The sequence below is a fragment of the Homo sapiens genome, chromosome 5 (genome assembly GCF_000001405.40).
Source record: "Homo sapiens chromosome 5, GRCh38.p14 Primary Assembly".
NCBI lineage: Eukaryota > Metazoa > Chordata > Mammalia > Primates > Hominidae > Homo > Homo sapiens.
Window position 1 is genome coordinate 83,378,519 of NC_000005.10, and position 20,252 is coordinate 83,398,770.

At 35.4% G+C, this 20,252-nt stretch overlaps 1 long non-coding RNA gene across 1 annotated transcript, besides 1 other annotated feature; it reads left to right on the forward strand.

The window, feature by feature from the left end:
- Positions 106-799: an enhancer, noted in NCBI's record as "OCT4-NANOG hESC enhancer chr5:82674443-82675136 (GRCh37/hg19 assembly coordinates)". NCBI's record gives its function as "activates a minimal SCP1, AML or CMV promoter by ChIP-STARR-seq in primed H9 embryonic stem cells {active_cell/tissue: H9 hESC(primed)}" and the evidence as "EXISTENCE:reporter gene assay evidence [ECO:0000049][PMID:30033119]".
- LOC105379053 (uncharacterized) lies at positions 9,371-19,818 on the forward strand. Its single transcript, XR_948511.2, has 3 exons — positions 9,371-9,851; positions 12,789-12,864; positions 19,706-19,818. It is a non-coding gene; the product is annotated as an uncharacterized LOC105379053 (long non-coding RNA).
- The last annotated feature ends 434 nt before the right edge of the window (positions 19,819-20,252 follow it).

The following is a 20,252-nucleotide window of genomic DNA, read 5'->3' on the forward strand; positions in this document are numbered from 1 at the left end:
CAGCATTTCCCAATGGCTGAAGCTGTTGGAAGCCAGTTGGCAAGAAAATGTCATTTGCAGGGGTCAGTTCCCTGTGGTAAAGAGCAGAGTCTGGCACAGCAGACGAGAGAGTAGCGTATGTGCATCCCTAAAGGATGAGACATTTAAAAAATTCCTGGAATATGAAAATTAAGTGGGAGCCATTTAACAGAAGCAAAGGGCAGAGAAATTGTCAGCCTACAATAGACTCTGAGAGCTCTGCAGAAGAAAAGAACAAATCTGCCTGTGGAATCCCAGAGATGCCCTGAGTGCAGAAGATAAAATCAGAGAGAGTACTTCAAGGTCTGACTGTCCCAGAATTCTTCCAGTCGGTGCCTCGTTGCCAGTGTATACAACAGTGAGAAGTCTTCCAACAGTTTACCTGCAGGCAAAATATATGATGAATCCTTACTAAAGAAACTGAGCAAACTGTGAAAAGTGAAAATTTCTGAATTTACAGGTGCCTCAAAGAAAAGCCATTATCATTCGGGCATTTGCAGAAACTCAGCATGACAGCGAGCTCCCAATCCACTGATCCTACATCAAAGTTACCAGTCATTGCCTGGCCCATTGCAGCAACAAATTCCAGTAAGAAAAAAAAGAGATCTATTACGAAAACAATCTTACACAAAAGTGGAAACATCTACTCCGTCAGCTCAGTCCACTCTTCTTAATAAGAGTCAGAAATCACTAGCATGTAAAGAGAACTAGCAACATAAAAAGAGAAATAACAAATTTTACAAAGTAGAAAAATAACTTTGGAGTAAGATGAAATTATTTAGGTAACACAAAAGAAGTTAAAAATCATTCTTATAAATGTTTTCCAAAAGATTCAAGGAGGCCAGGCGTGGTAGCTCATGCCTGTAATCCCAGCACTTTGGGAGGCCAAGGCAGGAAGATTGCTTGAGGCCAGGAGTTTGAGACCAGCCTGGGCAACATGGTGAGACACCTCCATCTCTACAAAAGAATAAAAACAAAAGATTCAAGGAAATATTACACCTACAAAACAAGAAATAGAACAATGAGAGAATGAGAAAGAGGTCTTAGAGATTTAAAGTATAATTTCCAAAACTTAAAATTTATTAGAGAGGCTGGAAAAAAACATCAAAGCAGGTTAACAAAATGTCAAACAAAAAAGTAAAAGATGGAAAATATGAGGAAGAAACTGAGAGGGCCTGTATTCAACTAACACAAAATCCAGAAAGAAGAAAAGGCAAAGTGTTAAAATTATTTCAGCAAATAATAAAAAGATACATACTAGAGCTAAGGACAAGAATCTTCCATTTGAAATGGCCCACCGAATGTCCAACTCGATGAATGAAAACAGATCTCCCACTAGCCACATTGTGATGAAGTTTCAGGACAACATAATTTAAAAAGAAGAACCCAAAAGCTTTTAGGAAGAAAAAAACTCACAAGCCATGAAGGAGAGGGGTTGAAGTTCTGCAGTAAAATTATGTTCCACCTAGAATACTCTATAATGTCAAAGATACAAGCACTAAGTACACTTACCACCTGTGTATCATCTCTTATGAAGCTATCTGAGTGTTCTTCACCAGCAGAATCTGTAAACTAGGACGGTGTAAACAGAACTGACCCAGGACAAAGTAAAGGGATCTCCCAAGTTGTGGCCAACCTAAGGAGTGACCAATCTCGAGACTAGTAGGATAATAATCCCCAGGGGATAGGCTTCTGGGACAATTTGTAGCTTGTTGAACAGCTAATATACCTTAGAGTGTGAAAAATCTAAAGAACACATAACAAGGGTGGGATGGGAAGTTATAGAAATTCCAGGGGAAAAAAATGTACAAGAAAATCTTGGTCAAATACAAGCAAACTGAATGCTGCGATTTTTAAGGAATCTGTGGACCATCACACTAGTATTCGTTAGGTGGCCCAGATTGCTGTACAAGTGCTCATAAAGAAGGTGCTGGAAGCCTAGTGCGTCACTTGGCATGGCACATATCTGTTTATGCATTAAACTGTAACACTGCCAAATCAGTTTATTAGTTTTCTCCTTAAGAGACAACCTAAGGACATAACATGGAAGATTTATTCGTGTTTGCAGGAGAGCACAGAAATGTTAACTACTTAGATTACTTAAAAGTCAAAGCAGAAAAAAAACAAGAGGTGGAACACAAGTTTTCTGAGGCGAAAGATGGAAGAAAAAATAGAACTCCAATGATCTCATCTTTTAAGGGAATGGTCAAATATGAAGAAATACTGTCAAAATTGGAGAAAAAAAACAGGAATTTAGCCATATTAACTAAAGATACAAAACAAATCAATATTAAAGCTAAAAGTAATAACATAACAAACATTGAGAAAAGAAAATAGGAGGGTATAATTAAAATGAACAAATCCTTATCTTCATCTCAGGGAGTCACTGCATATTGTCTAAAGTAAAGAAGTAAGTAGAAGAATACACATATTGTCTAGCCTTGATACTCAAATGTGTCGTCTGCAGACCAGAAGGATTGACATCACTTGTTAGAAAAGCCAAATCTTGGCAAAACCACTGAAATGGAATCTGCATTTTAACAAGATCCATACATATTTTATAAACACATTAAAGTTTGAATACCACGTTTCTGTAATAGTGATTCTCAGTCTTTGCTGTGCATTATTAGAGTCATATGGACAGCTTAAAACATTATTTTAAGAAGAGCAAAGCCCAGTCCTTACCTTAAGAAATTATGCTTTAAATGGGATGGAGCCCAGAAATCAGCCTTTTTTTTTTTTTTTATGGTTTCTGAGGTGATTCTAATATGCAGTCATGGTTAAGAACCTGTGATCTAGAATAATAGTGGTAAGTGACCAATAGAATGAAAAAACTGATTTTGAAAATTTGCTTCTGGATCTATCGGGGCAATGTGCCGAAGATAGAGAAACATGGGGAAGAAGACTGTTATTTTAATCATGAGAAAATTTATAATCTTTCACCTTCACCATGCCACATGTACTGCTTTGATATATAGATTTATCTTGCATACATGCATATTTTGATTCAGCAATTATATTTCTGGGAATATTCTAAGCACAGTAACTTATTAACTATAAAAAGTGTATGTTCATGGAAATTCATCATAATATTGTTCATAATTTTAGTAATTATGGTACAATATAAATGTTTATCAAAAGAACAATAAATAAAAATGTACAACAGAACACCATAGCACACTTGGATAATTATAAATACCTGATTAATGTATTGCTATAGGTCTACACTTGTAACAGAACTACTAGTTGTCCCTTAATATCCGTCTTTTCCCTCTTTTATTGTAACATAGCCTTTGATTTGGGGATGGTCACAGGGCCAACAGGGATGATTTTCCCACCCTCTTTTGCAGGTAAGTATATCCAGGCTACTAAATTCTAGCAATGAGATGTAGGGAAAAGTTGTGTGTGCAATTTCCAGAAAGTGTTCATTATGGAGGAGGTAGGCCCTTTTCCCCCCGTTTCGTTCTTTTTGCTGGCTTGAATGTGTCACTGGAGCTGAAGAAGTCATCCTAGACAATAAGGTGATCCAGGAGTGGGAGGCCATGCTTGCCAGAGCAATAACTAACACAGAAATAGCCTAAGCCCCTGATGCCATGAAGCACCATACCAGTCCTGAAATGCTTTTCTCCAAACTTCCACATGAAAAAACAAATCAAGTTCTAGCTTTTTAAAGCCAGAATTACCTTTCCTATTCTACTACTTGTGGCAACCTCATTCTAATAAGTACAATACTCATTAACAAGAAAAACAGTTTAAAATAAATGTATTGGGAAAAGATAAGTTGCAAATGATAATTTATTTTGGGAACAACCAGATATAAGGTAAGTAAGAACACAGACTTGAATAACACTATAGACCAATTAGAACTAACAAACACTCTGCCAAACAGCAGCAAAACCTACATTCTCCTCAAGTTCACATGGAATATTCTTCAGGATAAACCACAAACTAACTAGGCCACAAAACAAGTCTTAAAAAATTATACAAAATGTATTTTCCAATCACATTGGAATGAAACTAGAAATCAATAACAGAAGGAAAATCCACAAATATGTGGAAAGTAAACAACATACTCTTAAACAATCAGTGAATCAAAGAAGTCACAAGGGAAATTAGAAAAATACTGTGAGACAAATGAAAATAAAAATACAACATACAAAAGTTTGAGATGGTCCAGGTATAGTGGCTCATGCCTGTAATCCCAGCACTTTGGGAGGCCATGGCGGGCAGATCACCAGAGGTCAGGAGTTTGAGACCCGCCTGCCCCACATGGCGAAACCCCCCCTCTCTACTAAAAATACAAAAAAATTAGCCGGGTGTCGTGGTGGGTGCCTGTAATCCCAGCTACTCAGGAGGCTGAGGCAATAGAATCACTTGAACCTGGGAAGCGGAGGTTGCAATGAGCCGAGATTGCACCACTGCACTCAGCCTGGGCGACAAGAGCGAAACTCCATCCCAAAAAAGAAAAATTTGAGATGCAGTGAAAGCAGTGCTAAGAGGAAAGTCTATAGCTATAGATAAACATTTAGTAAGAACAAAGATCTCAAATCAACAACGAAACTTTACACCTCAAGGAACTAAAAAAAGAACTACATCCAAAGCTAGCAGAAGAAAGGAAATAATTATGATTAGAGCAGAAACAGATAAAATAGATTTTTTTAAAATCATGAAAATAAGACTACATGTTTTTAAAAAGATCAACAAAAAGAGATAAAACTAAAATAACTAAAATCGGTAATGAAAGAGGGAGCATTACATGAAATAAACAGGATTATATGAGAGTATTTTTAAAAATTGTATGCCCACAAATTGGATAAACTAGAAGAAATGGATAAACTCCTAGGAATACACAACCTACCAAGAGTGAGCCATGAGAAATAGAAAATCTGGACAGGCCAATAATTAGTAAAAATAGTGAATTTGTATAAAAACTTCCCCAAAAAAGATAACTCCAGGACCAGATGACTTCACTAGAGAATTCTACCAAACATTTAAAGAATTAACACCGGCCGGGCGCGGTGGCTCACGCCTGTAATCCCAGCACTTTGGGAGGCCGAGGCGGGCGGATCACGAGGTCAGGAGATCGAGACCATCCCGGCTAACATGGTGAAACCCCGTCTCTACTAAAAATACAAAAAATTAGCTGGGCGTAGTGGCGGGCGCCTGTAGTCCCAGCTACTTGGGAGGCTGAGGCAGGAGAATGGCGTGAACCCGGGAGGCGGAGCTTGCAGTGAGCCGAGATCCCGCCACTGCACTCCAGCCTGGGCGACAGAGCGAGACTCCGTCTCAAAAAAAAAAAAAAAAAAAAAAAAAGAATTAACACCAATCCTTTTCAATATCTTCCAAAAACTGAAGAGTAGGGAACAACTTCAAGCTCATTCTATGAGGCTAACATTACCTTGATACCAAAATCAGATAAACACACTACAAGAAAAGAAAACTACAGACTAATATTCCTAATGGATATTGATGCAAAATCATCAACAAAATACTAGCAAACTGAATTCAACAGCACATTGAAAGGACTACACACCATAACCAACTGGGATTTATTCCTGGAATGCAAGAATGGTTTAATATACAAAAATCAATCAATATAATACATCATATTAACCAAATGAAGGACCAAAAACACACAGCCATCTCAACTGATGCAGAAAAAAGCATTTGATAAGATTTAACACCCTTTCGTAATATATTAAAAAATAAACACTCAACAAACTAGGAATAGAATGAAACTACCTCAGCATATCAAGACCATACATGAAAGGCCCACAGAAAATATCATACTCAACAGTGAAAGACTGAAGCCTTTTCTTTTAAGATCAGGAACAAGACAGGAATGCCTGCCTGATATAAATATTACTATTCAATATAGTATTTGATGTCAGTCAGAAAAATTAGGCAAGAAAAATAAATTGGAAGAAGTAAAATTATCTTTCACAGATGACATGTATATGTAGGAAACTCTAAAAATTACACACACACACACGCAAATAAACCTGTTAGAACTAATAAAATAATTCATCAGATTTTGCAGAATACAAAATCAACATATAAAAGTCATTTGCACTTCTACAAACTAACCATGAACAATATGAAAAGAAAATTAAGAAAACAACTTACAGTAGCATCAAAAAGAATAAAATATTAGGAACAAAGTTAACAGATGGGTTGAAAGACTTGTACAATGAAAACTACAAAACATTACTGAAAGAAATTTTGAAAGATACAGATAAATGGAAGGATATTCCATGTTCATAGATGGGAAGGCATAACATTATTAAGATATCAATATTACCAAAGTGACCTACACAGTCAATGCAATCCTTGTCCAAATCCCAATAGCAATTTTTTCACTAAAATTTTTTAAAAAGTTATACTAAAATTCACATGGAATTTCAAGGGACCCTGAATGGTCAAAACAATTTTGAAAAAGAAGAACAAAGTTGGAGGACTCTTATTTCCTGATTTTAAAACCTATTATAAAACTACAGTAATCAAAACAATGTGGTGCTCGCATACAGACAGGCATCTGTACCAGTGGAATACAATAGACAGCCCAGAAATAAACCATCACAAATATTGTGACATAATCTTTGACAAGGTTATGGGGAAAGAACAATATCTTCAACAAATTATATTAAGAAAACTGTATATACACATGAAAAAGAATGAAGTTGGATCCTTATTTTATGTCATATACAAAAATTTACTCAAAATTGATTAAAAACATAAATGTAAGACTCAAAACTATAAAACTCCTTGAAGAAAATATAGGGGAAAATCTTCATAATATTGGATTAACCATGATTTCTTGGATGTGACAACAAAAGCACAGGCCACAAAAGCAAAAATGGACAAATGGGACTAAATCAAACTAAAAAACTTCTGTGCATCAAAGGACACACTCAATACAACGAAAAGGCAATCTACAGAATGGGAGAAAATATTTGCAGATTATTCATCTGATAAGCAATTAATATCTAGAATATATATTTTAAAAGACCTACAATTCAACAACAAAAAATCAAACAATCTGACTTTATGGGTAAAGTGAGTAAAGGACTTGAATAGGCATTTCTATGAAGAAGATGTAAAAATGGCTAACAAGCATATGAAAAGATGTTCACTATTATCAATCATCACAGAAATGCAAATTAAAACTATGAGCTATCACCTCACATCCATTAGTATGCCTAATATTTTAAAAAGTAGAAAATAACAAGTGCCAGTGAGGATGGAGAAAAATTGGAACATTTATGCACTGTTGGTGGGGGTGCAAAATGGTGAAACCACTATGGAAAACAGCACCGTAGCTCTTCAAAGAGTTAAAAATAGAATTACCATATGATCCAATAATTCCATTTATGAGTATGTATTCAAAAGAATTGAAAGAATTGGTTCTTGAAGAGATAGCTACACACCTGTGTTCATAGAAGCACTACTTGCAGTAGCCAACAGGTGGAAGCAACCCAAATATCCATCGACAGGTGAATTGATCAACAAAATATGGTACATATACACACTATAGAACAGTATTCATCCTTAAAAAGGAAGGGAATCCTATCACATGCTACAATGTGGGTGAACCTCGAGGGCATTATGCTAAATGAAATAAGCCAATTCACAAAAAGACAAATACTGAATGATTTCACTTACACGAGGTATCTAGAGTAGTCAAATTTATATAAACAAAAAATAGAAAGTTGGCTAAAATGGGGGGAGAGAAAAAAGAGAGTTGTTTAATCGGTATAAAGTTTCAGTTCTACAAGAGAAAAAAATTCTGGAAATCTATTTCACAACACTGTGAATAAACAACATTGCTGAACTGTACACTTAAGATTAAGATGGTAGATTGTATGTTATGTGTTTTTAGCACAATAAAATATGTATTTTGATAAACAACAACTCAAAGTCTGTGACTTTGAATGCCCATGGGGGGAGGGGGGAGGGATAGCATTTGGAGATATACCTAATGTTAAATGACGAGTTACTGGGTGCAGCACACCAACATGGCACATGTATACATATGTAACTAACCTGCACGTTGTGCACATGTACCCTAAAACTTAAAGTATGATTTAAAAAAGTATTATAAATAGGAAAACAAAACAAGTATAGAAGAGTATACAAAAAAATGGTCATAATAACTAGCAACACTACAATTGAAACTTCTTAACTTTCTAAATTCTCTGAGATTTGTACAGTAGGCATAAAATATTTTTATAATTATAAAAAATGAAGCTGTTTCCACTTTTAAAAATACAAAACAAAACTTCTATTGGGACTTACAATGAGTGAATGACTTATATATGGGAAACCTGTATTTGCCAAAGAAGCAATTACATTCTCCTGAGAAATTCAAGACTCACCACCCTCTAGGGGACCTTTGTGTGGTGTTTGATTCCTCTGGGACAGTCGGGTCTTCTGTCTAGTCCAGGGACGAAGAAGCAAAAGCTAGGTAGCCCTCTAGCACACAAAGTGAAAAAGCTAGCTGTCTTCAAAGAACAATTTTGTTTCACAAATTTATTTAACTTCAAAAACCTGCAAAGCAGAGGTGGACATGGCAGGAGGAGGAGCCGGTTAGGATGGGGTGGGGGGATTAATTGCTTTAGACAGAATTTCCCAGCCCAAGTGTACACTGACATTTTAGCTTTGTGTTGCAATTCTTTTATCTTGACCCAGACTGGGTACCCTGAGTCACAGTGACAAACAAGTGGGTCATTACATCATTATTGTTTTATGACTATTTGTGCATGTCCTTTTGGTTCTTGAAGCTATAGTCTGTCACGACACTGTCTTGTGCTGAAAGGGGATCATTAACAATTTTTCCCTTATTTAAATGATTGGCCAGATGAAGCATCCATAAATGTGGCAAAAAGACAAGTTAAACTAGATAATAATCTCTAATATTATTAAAACCAAATGTTTAGAAAAGGAATTTCACTTTAAACATCAAAATGCCTCTGTTCCTCGGTGAAACTTTTTGATTCTACCAGATACTAAAGTCTATCAATAAGCTAATGTACATCACTATCAGCAAGTTCCTGAGTGATACTTGTCTTGGACTTCTTTTGTGGTATTTAACCATTCTAACAAGAATGGCACCATATACCAACACGGAGTGCTTTTCAACACCGCCCCCACCCCCCAAATTAGATGGTATGGTAAGAATCTTGGCAATCCAGCATTACTAAACAACAAAACACAGAAAAATTAATAAGGGCATTGTAAAATAAAAGTAAGTTACTTATATTTCCATCAAAATACTTAACAAGTCTTATCTTCAATCTAAGGTTAGAATTACAGCACTAGCCTATTTCCATTCCTGTTATGAGGTTTGAACATACTTACTTTAGCACATCATTCCCCATCTTTTCTCATTTTGGGGTCTTCTCTGTTTTTAAGAAAGAAATCTAAAATGTCACATTTCTAGCTCCCTTTTTCCTTCCCATAACTCATTTTCTCAGTTTGGAATACATTGTCAGTTTTTTGCAGGAGTGAATATAGTTGCCGAAGATAAAAGTTGTTTTGACAATTTAGTAATGGTTTTTGCACTATAAGTGATATTATTTTCTTTCTTTTCTTTTCTTTTTTTTTTTTTTTAGATGGAGTCTTGCTCTGTCACCAGGCAATCATTAATGATATTGGTTGTAATTTTAGAGTTATAAAAAAAATAAGAAAATGGGGAGAAAGAAAAGGGGGAAACAGGAAGAAGATAAAGGAGAGAACAGAAAAAGAAGGAAAGAAGAAAGGCAGGAAAGCAGGAAGGAAGCAGCAAGGGAGGAAGAGAAGGAGGAAGACAGACAATCACAAAGCAGACTTTTCAGGTAACTGTTTCTTCCAGTATTAGCAATAGTCCAGACAAGTTAATTGAATTTCTTCCCCAAACCCAATTTGAACAAATTCTCAGATCTTCAGAATAAAAATAAAACACATATAAAAATGATCCACAGTTGTTTTATTCAATCTGAGTGTTTTTGCTGAATCCTAGAGACAGAGAATGTTGCTACAGTTTTTTAAAACATAATTTTTAAAAAATATCAAGTGAAGAAAAAATAAACATATTTTCTTAGTGCCTCCAGGATAATTTGGGTAGCAAGCCACATGAAATTTTTGAGTGAAACAGTGCTGACATAGAAAACATTCTCAGTATCTGGGTCTTTAAAAATTGTGCTAAGCTTGCAAGTCCACAGCAGCTCAAGAGTAAGAACTTTCTCAGGATGTTTGTTGGTTTTTCCTTAGTTTATATGTAGCCAGCTGGTTTCTGACCTCTTTGTGTAAATATCCAGCTTTTCACATAATCAGATTCCATATTACCTTGTTATGACATCATTCTGGGCAGGCTTTGATCCCTCACTAACATTTTCAAACTATGCACACAAACTTAAATAACAATAAGAAGACTGCTACTTACCCAATAAATACTACTGCTGATGTTGTATGTATATTGTGTGTGGATATGGATATAGACATGGATATAAATATTTGTTGTTTGTATATATTTGCATAATAACACATATACCTACAGAGGGGTTAGCAATATACTGAAAAGTATATCCTATTTGATTCTAAATTATTGAATATTTGAAAATATTTTGCATATTTCTTGTGAAATATACATTTATTTTAAGTTCCCTTTTACTGCAATTGTTATTGTTTAATATTTTTGTTCAACTGATATTTTTTAAAACAGGTGAATTGACGTCTAGGACTTAGAGACCCTGTTATATATTTTTCCACCTGGATAGATAAAAATAAAGGTTAAGCTATATTCTTTGGCAATCCAGGGGCCAAGATATAAAAGACACAATGATCTTCTAAATAACTAAGAAAATGGCTTATTTAGTGTCTGATTAAGATAAATGACACAAGGCAGCTGTAAAAAGAATTCCCACTAGCCATTGACCCACAAAACTGTGGAGTCATTTTTCATTTTTAGAAAAGTATCAAAATCAACTTAAATTCACAACAAACCTTTGGAGTTATAATGAAATGTCCTAAATTCTGCTTCAAATGGTATTGACTAATGTTATTTTTGAAGTTAAAATACACTAACACATTCTGATTTCTATAGAACTTTGACGGCTGTTAAGCAGGAGTCATGTTTCTACAGGATTATTGTATCCCCAACACTAGAGCAGTGCATAGTACATAATAGTGGTCAATAAATATTGTTGAATAAATGAATGAATTAAATAGTAATAATATATTAGCTTGTGGAGATTTGAATACTAAAAGTAATGTCACCCATACCAAAAAGTCATAGAGCTAATAGATATATAATATAATAATAATAAATGTTTATTTCCTGCTTTTCATGTGCCAGGCATTATGGTAAGTGCTTTATATGCATTCTCTTATACCAATGATCCTATTACCCCTATAAAAGGTAATGGTTAGGCTATCTCATGTGAGAAACTCTGGCTAAGAGAATAGTACTAATGTGCTCAAGGTCACACAGCTAATAAATGATGAAGCTGAAGTTAAAAGTTAAGTCATCCTGGCTCCAGAAAATACATTTTTTTAAAAACCAACTATGCTCTCTGTCTCGACACACTGTGGTTTCATGGTAACTTTATTATGGTCTTTAAGTTCAGTCATGAACTATAGCTATAAAGAAAAGAAAAACTATATTTTACTACTTCCAGAGAATGGCTTTCATGAAGCATTAAATTTTCTACTAACAGGTTAAATGTTTTTATTAATATAGTGTGTAGAAATTGCTCAATAATATTATGCTTTTTCTACATAGTACATAGGAATTTATCCTGTAAATACATTTTCACAAATGAGAAGTAGGTATAAGGATTTAACTACTGCATTTTTTTCATAATAACAAAAAACTAGAAATAATCTCAATTCAACTCAGTAGAGGCCTGGTTAAGCAAATTATGAATGTGTACTGGATTGCTACCCAGTTATTAAAAAGATTGATGGATGAAATTCCAAGATTGAAAAGAAAACAGCAAATTTCACATGAGTATGCATTAATCCATTTACCTATCTTATTGTGCGCTATAAAAAATGTGTACTTTTTACCCACTTTGTAATCTTCTGTAATATTTAGATGTTTTCCATAAGTGTATAATATTTTTTCAATTAAAACAACACTTTTTATAAAAAGCATTTTATCTGCATAAGGAAAAATGAAATAGCACGCAGTTCTGTGACATGTTTCAAGCTTCATGATTAGATTACATCTAAGGACAGTAAATGTATACCCACAGAAGCCCAGAGCAACCATAAGATTTATTTAAACATTCAAAAATTTGTTTAAAATTACCAAAATTAATATAAACTTTCCGGATGGAAAGTTTGCTCTTTTTGTGTTAAACAAACAAGAAAATAAAGATAATATTTTAAATTACCATTACAAAAAAAATACTAACTAATCAATTTGTTTTTGGATAAGGTGCTTGGATTTTGAAGCAATAAAATTCAGAAAATTTTGCTGATACTAGGGATGATGAGGAAGTAATGTAAAATGGATGAGACTACAGACATTGGAATCAAGTAGATCTAGTTCATCCAAGTGCTTGACCACTTCTCAGATGTAACCTTAGTTGAGTATTTAACTTTTGTAGGCCTTATTTTCCTCATTTGTAAAATGTGGGTATGAATCATACCCTGTGTGGAGCTTTAAATGATGTTGGTATACATGATGTTATAGGTCAGCAGGAAAGGTGGGGTGGGAGGGGAGAGGTTTACATGCTAGGTTCAACATTTTTTTTTTTTTTCCTATCTTGGTGTCACAATATTTTAAGCATCTGGATTCACAGCAATAAGGAATTACCAATGGCAATGCTAAGGAAAGATGGCTGGCTAGATTACTGCCAACAGGTACAACGTTTTCACATTTTTAACATTTTTTAAATACTATTTCTAATATAAATTTTATATTTTACTAACTGTATCTTTTTATTTACCAGCCCAATTGCTTCTTTATTTAACATACTCAATGGACCTCCAATCAGGTTGTTTTATTGAAGGAGGGAAATATTCATCAAACAACATTTTCAGGGAAGAAAGATATGGCTGATGCTTTTTTTTCCCTTTTAAATCATTAATACTGTTAATTACTGTCCAGTAAAAGAAGAGAGGCAAACATTTCACAGGAAGCAATGAGATCAACTCTCTGCATCCAATACTCAAACTTCATTCACAGTTGCAGCGTTCCCATCGCATAGTGAAACATTCGTAGTTCAGCCGTGGAGTTGTCAACTGACTTCGGAGAAAAGTCTACTAAATAGGCCAGCTCTTTGAGCCACTCTTTGTTATTAGAAGCACAATTAATTCACTAATCCTATTCAGAATTTTACCGTTTGTCATCATGTTATTTATTTATTTATTTATTTCTTCACAAGGAAAAACATGTTTCCAATCTGGACCCAAACACATGATCATCTCTTTACTTGGGATAAGCTAGTATTGAGTCTACATAAGTAAAGCCAAGTTTTGAAGTGACTTCCTATATTCACTCCAACCCCAAAATAGAAAATTACCGTGTTCTCCAAAATGTACCATTTCACTTACACGGAGTTCATCCTAAAATATTGGGAGATACATGAGAAGTGATATGGTCTCAGTGTGTGAGGCAAAGGGTGCTGAGACACTCAGGCCTTGATGGGCAGTTTCCTCTTAGGATAAAGTCCAAATACTTTCCCATGACTTGTGTAATTATTCGTGAGTGGCCCCTGCTGTTTTCCACTTCATTCCTTCTTCTCATTTCATTTCTCAGTTTCTCTACATGGACTCATTTCCTCATGTGCTAGGAGGCCTTTGAAAGTACAATTTCTATGGCCTGGAACCATTTCCACTTTAACTATTCTATGTGACTTCTCTCTCACTCCTACTTTTTACTCTTTCTTCATCTTTCAGCCAAGTTGTCACTTTCTTTGGGAAGACTGCATGGGCCCTGACTGGGTGAGGTAGCTCTTCAATATGCTTCTTGTATTAGAGTTCTCCAAAGAAAGAGAACCAAAAGAAATTTTCTTGAGAAAATTCATGAGAAATGAATTGAGAAATTTCATGAGATTAGGAGGGCTGAGAAGTCCCACAATCTGCTGCCTACAAGCTGAAGACCCAGGAAAGCCAGCAGTATAACCATTCAGAGTCCGAAGGCCTGAGCCCACGGGAGCCCATGATGTAAATCCCAGGATGAGAGCAGGGAAGGATAAGTTCAGATGTCCCAGCTCATGCAATGAGGCGGGAAAAAGGGAATGGATTTCTCCTTCCCTCGCCTTTTGTTCTATTCAGAACCTTAACAGATTTGATGATCCCCATGCACACTAGGGAGGGCAACCTACTTTACGGAGCCCACTGGTTCAGAGGCTCATTTCGTCTTTAACATAATTAAAATGCTGTTTAATCTAGGCACCTTCTGGCCAATCAGGTTGACACATAGAATTAATCATCACACTTACATGTTTACGAATATTTTTGCTCTCCCAATGCAGTTATCACAATATATTAGAAGGTCTGTGAGGGAGGAGACCTCGTCCTTCTTGTTTACTGATGAATTCCCAGTGCTTATCACAGTGTGCCTGGCATAAAGGAGGAGTTTAATACATAAGTGAATGAATACTGTATTTTTTAATACTGAGCATCTAAAAAGCTTCTTTACTCCAGAGCTTCAGAAGAAAACATGAGATAAGTTGACATTGAAAAGTAGGATTTTTGTGTAACCAATCGATTCACTAATGATTCACACAACGGCATGTATGAATCTTAATTGCATTTTGTTAAATGAAAGAGCCAGACACAAAAGACTACACAGAGAATGATTCCATTCATATGTCATTGTGGAAAATGTAAAACTAAAGGAACAGAAAATAGGTCAATGGTCTCCAGGGGTTCTGAACGGAGGGATGGGGAAATTCACTGCAAAGTGGCAGCACAGGGGCATCTTAGGATGGAATTGTTCTGTATGGTACCTGTGGTGTTGGCTCCGTGACTCAATGTATTCATCAAAACTCAGAGCTGTACAGTGTCAACCTGTATGCAAATGCAAAACATATTAACTAGGATGTGGGAAAACCCAGGATATGAAATCTGACATTAACTATACTACAAATGAATTGTATCAGATAACTTCATTGAAGGGTATAGGGAAGAAAGAGCTGACCTAAGTAATTTTAACAAAATGTTTTGACTGATACTGTAAGGTTAAATATAAAGGAAACTCTGTGTCAAAACTTGATGTTAGTTGGTAAATTTATTTCTCATGGGGTACAGTTTAGAAGTCCTTAGTGTATATAAATACATTGTGATGCCGAGAGCCACTTTTCTCACTGTTAGAGAAGGAATCTACAAATAAAAGAGCAAAGGCTAGAATGAAATCTGTTATACTGATTAGAGTCAGAGACATCAGAATAAACTCTTGTTTATTTAAATAGACTATATAGATATAAAGCATATAAATTAAAATATATGTTTGCATCCATATAGGCAAAGAGATACAGAAATATATACATTTATACAGGTGTTTATATACACACAGATATGCATATAAATATATATTTTTTCTGTGTGTGTGTGTATATATGTATATATATATACAGAAATAAATGTATTTCCTAGATATTTTTTCTGAGAGGGCCTAGAAATAGCGAAACATAAATAGAAACAAGCACTTCAAGCTCATTGATTTCTAAATACCATTCTCTAGTAAAATCAATTAGGATTCCTTGAAGAAATTGCTGATTCTACGACTGTGGGAGGAAAGATACATGATGAGCCTGGAGCATCTTGTAGCATCAGAACATAAGGAAATAGTCATGCTTAACAACAAGGATATGCTCTGAGAAATGCACCATTAGGCAATGTTGTCATTGTGTAAACATCGTAGGATGTACCTATATAAACCTAGATGGTATAGCCTACCACATACCTAAGCTATGTGGTATGGCCTATTGCTGCTAGGCTATATACCTGTACAGCATGTGGCCATACTAAATACTGTAGGCAATTGTAATAGAGTATTAAGTATTTGTGCATCTAAACATATCTAAACATAGAAAAGATACAGTGATAATACAGTATAAATGATTTATGTATTTATTTATTTTTTTGAGATGGAGTCTCACTCTGTCACCCAGGCTGGAGTGCAGTGACACAATCTCGGCTCACAGCAACCTCCACCTCCCAGGTTCTAGCGATTCTCCTGCCTCAGCCTCCCAAATAGCTGGGACTACAGGCGTGAGCCCAACAAGCCAGGCTAATTTTTGTATTTTTAGTAAAGACGGGGTTTCATCATGTTGGCCAGGCTGGTCTCAAACTCCTGGCCTCAAGTGATCTGCCCACCTCGGCCTCCCAAAGTGCTGGGATTACAAGCGTGAGCCACTGCACCCGGCATAAATAATTTTTTTTTTAATGGTATACCTATATAGGGCATTTACCTAGGAACTTGCAGGACCAAGAGTTGCTGTGAGTGAGTCAATGAATGAATATGAAGGCCTAAGACATTACTCTGTGCAACTGTAGAATTACTTTATAAACACTGTATACTTAGGCTACCTTTAATTTATTCAACGTATTTTTTCTTTAATAATAAATTCACCTTAGCTTACTGAAACTTTATAAACTATAAAATTTTCTTTTTTTTTAACTCTCTGACTCTTTTGTAATAACACAGCTTAAAAAACAAACATGTTGTATATCTGTACAAAAATATTTTCTTTATATATGTCCTTATTCGATAAGCTTTTTTCTACTTAGGTTTTTATTGTTTTTTTTTAACCTTTTTTAACATTTTTGACATAAACTAAGACACAGACAATAGCCTAAGCCTACACAGGGTCAAGATCATCTTCTACCTCCACATCTTTGCCCACTGGAAGGTCTTCAGGGGCAATAACATACATGGAGCTGTCATCTTCCATGATAACCATGCCTTCTGGAATACCTCCTGAAGGACCCATCTGAGGATCTTTTACAGTTAACTTTTTTGTGTGTGAGTTGAAGGAATAAATTCTAAAATAAGATTAAAAGTACAGTATAAATAGTAAATACATAAACCACTAACATAGTTGTTTGTTATTATTATATACCTTATATAATTGTATGTGCTATAGTATATGTTGGTTTGTTTACACCAGTATCACTGCAAACATGTGAGTAATGCATTGCCCTACAACGTCATGATGGCTACAACATCACCAGGTGATAGGAATTTTCAGCTCCATTATAATCTTATGGGGTCACTGTCGCATATGTGGTCTATTGCTGACTGAAACATCATTATGCAGCACATTACTGTAATAATAAGTGTTTTATACCAGTATGCTGGCATGTCAAAAGTATATAAGAGACAACCTGAAAGAGCTACCAATAGCTAAGCTATAAGAAATTTGAGGCTGGGTATGGTGGCTCACACCTGTAATCCCAGCACTTTGGGAGGCCGAGGCAGGTGGAGCACCTGAGGTCGGGAGTTTGGGACCAGCCTGACCAACATGGAGAAACCCTGTCTCTACTAAAAATACAAAATTAGCCAAGGGTCATGGCACATGCCTATAATCCCAGCTACTCGGGAGGTTGAGGAGGGAGAATTGCTTGAACCCGGGAGGCGGAGGTTGCGGTGAGCCAAGATCACGCCATTGCACTCCAGCGTGGGCAACAAGAGCAAAACTGCATCTCAAAAAAAAAAAAAAAAAAAGAATTTGAGCAACTAAATAAATAACTTTATTGGATTATAAACCACAGAATAGATAATATCCATGAGTCCAGACACGTAGAAATAAATGATTAAATAAACAAATAAACAGACGAGTGAGATTAGACAAATATTCATTTTGGAATAATTCCAGTTAATAAATATAGAAGGAATTAAGGAAATAGAAAATCATCATTAGAACCCACAGTAATATTTGCTGCAGGCAAGATCTAGGGACAAATGTAAAAATTCGTGAGTGAAATGTTAAGGTAAAACAGGATGTTTGGCCTCAAAGTATTTCCCTCAAAATATGTATTAATTATCGTGGTAGTTTAAAAATATGTCCACAAATCAAGGATGTGGAGTTTAATTTCTCTCCTTTTATATGTGAGCTGAACTTAGTGACTTGCTTCTAATGAATAGAATAGGGAAAAGGAAAAAAAGTAATTTTACATTCAAGAAACTTGTCAGACACCAGGTTAACCAACAGATCTTGGTTAACACCACCAGGAATGAAACATATCAAAACCATGTGCTTTTTGATATGATGTACTGAGAAGGGCACATCACTTCTCCATAGAATTTTCTTCCCCCAAACCCATAACCTCAGTCTAATCATGAAAATACCAGACAAACCCAAATAGAGGGACATTTTGCAAAATACTTGACCACATAGTGTTACTGTGATGAAAGATAAGGAAAGACCAAGAAATTGTCACAGACTGGAATACACTGAAGAGACATAACAAGTAAACCTCATGTGTTATCATGAACTGGATACCAGAACAGAAAAAGACGTTAGTGGGAAAACTGGGGAAACTTGAAGAGAGTTTAGTACCAATGTTAATTTCTTAGTTTTGATAAATGTACCATAGTTATGCAAGATGTTAAGGATAAAGGGAGCTGGGTGAAGGGTATATGGAAGCTCTCTGTACAATTTTTGCAACTGTTCTATAAATCTAAAATTATTTAAAGGAAAAAGTAAAAAAGAAAAAAGGAAGGATATTGGGAAGTTAATTGAATTCTTGAGTTCACAGGAGTATCAGACTCAAGGGCCACACAGCCATAAGTAATGTCCCAAATGATACAGTGAAACTGACCTGCCTGGTACAGTCCTCCCTCAGTATCTGTGGGGGTTTGGGAGATTGGTTCCAAGACCTCCCTCTTTAAAATCCACAGATGCTTCAGACCCTGATATAAAATGGCATAATATTTACATTTAAGCTATGCACATCCTTCCATATACTTTAAATTATCTCTAGATTACTTATGATATCTAATTCAATGTAAATGCTATGGAAATAGTTGTACTATATTGTTTAGAGAATGTTAACAAGAAAAAAGTCTGTACATGTTCAATACAGATGCAACTTTTCCCCCCAAATATTTTCTGAGAGTAGTTAAATCATGAATGTGGAACTCACAGACACAGAGGGCCTACCTACCGTATGTCACTACTACTGCTGCTTGAACTGTCAACATGACTGGCACAGGACATGAGATTCTTTTACAGGGATTGTGGCCACCACTGCCTTGGAAATGGGATCTTATTGCAATTGTCACTGACTCTAGAAATATTTATCTGAGACTTTACTTCCTTGTGTCAATGGCCCTCTATTGAAAACAGGGGGTGTGTCCTATGATTAGTAGAGGCCAGGTAATGTGCCTATGCTTAGTTTTAAGAGAAGCTGGGAAGAGAAGCATCAGGCATTTTTCCAGTTTCTCTAATGGGAGAAGGTGCCAAATATATGACGGGAGTTCAGATACTTGGCAGCCAAGAAGAATGAAAAAAAATCTAATGTATTTTGTGAATCTGATGTTGGTACAATTAGAACTTTCAAGCCATGTAAAAGAAATCTTTGAATAATTTGATTCAGTATATCTAATTGTGTCAACAGAAAACTAGATAGAAAAATTAAGTAGAGAGAAGACTGCTTTTTTTAAGCTTTGTAAGGTATATGTTTTGATTTGACTTTACTTTCTAGTATTCACTCTCTTACAATTGCTCATTTTTCTGTATCATCTGTCCAGGCTCTTCACTGAAAAAAAAAAGAAAGAAAAAGAAAAAAGAGAGAAACACTGAGCTGTTTGTTCACAGGTAAAAATATTTCTTCCCCTCTCATTAAAGATAATTTTTCTGGTCACAAAGTTTCTTTTTAATGTTTACATACACATTGTTTATTATTTGCTAATAAAATGTATCAACAATGCCATCCCCATCAAGCTACCAATGACTTTCTTCACAGAATTGGAAAAAACTACTTTAAAGTTCATATGGAACCAAAAAAGAGCCCGCATCGCCAAGTCAATCCTAAGCCAAAAGAACAAAGCTGGAGGCATCATGCTACCTGACTTCAAACTATACTACAAGGCTACAGTAACCAAAACAGCATGGTACTGGTACCAAAACAGAGATATAGACCAATGGAACAGAACAGAGCCCTCAGAAATAATGCCGCATATCTACAACCATCTGATCTTTGACAAACCTGACAAAAACAAGAAATGGGGAAAGGATTCCCTATTTAATAAATGGTGCTGGGAAAACTGGCTAGCCATATGTAGAAAGCTGAAACTG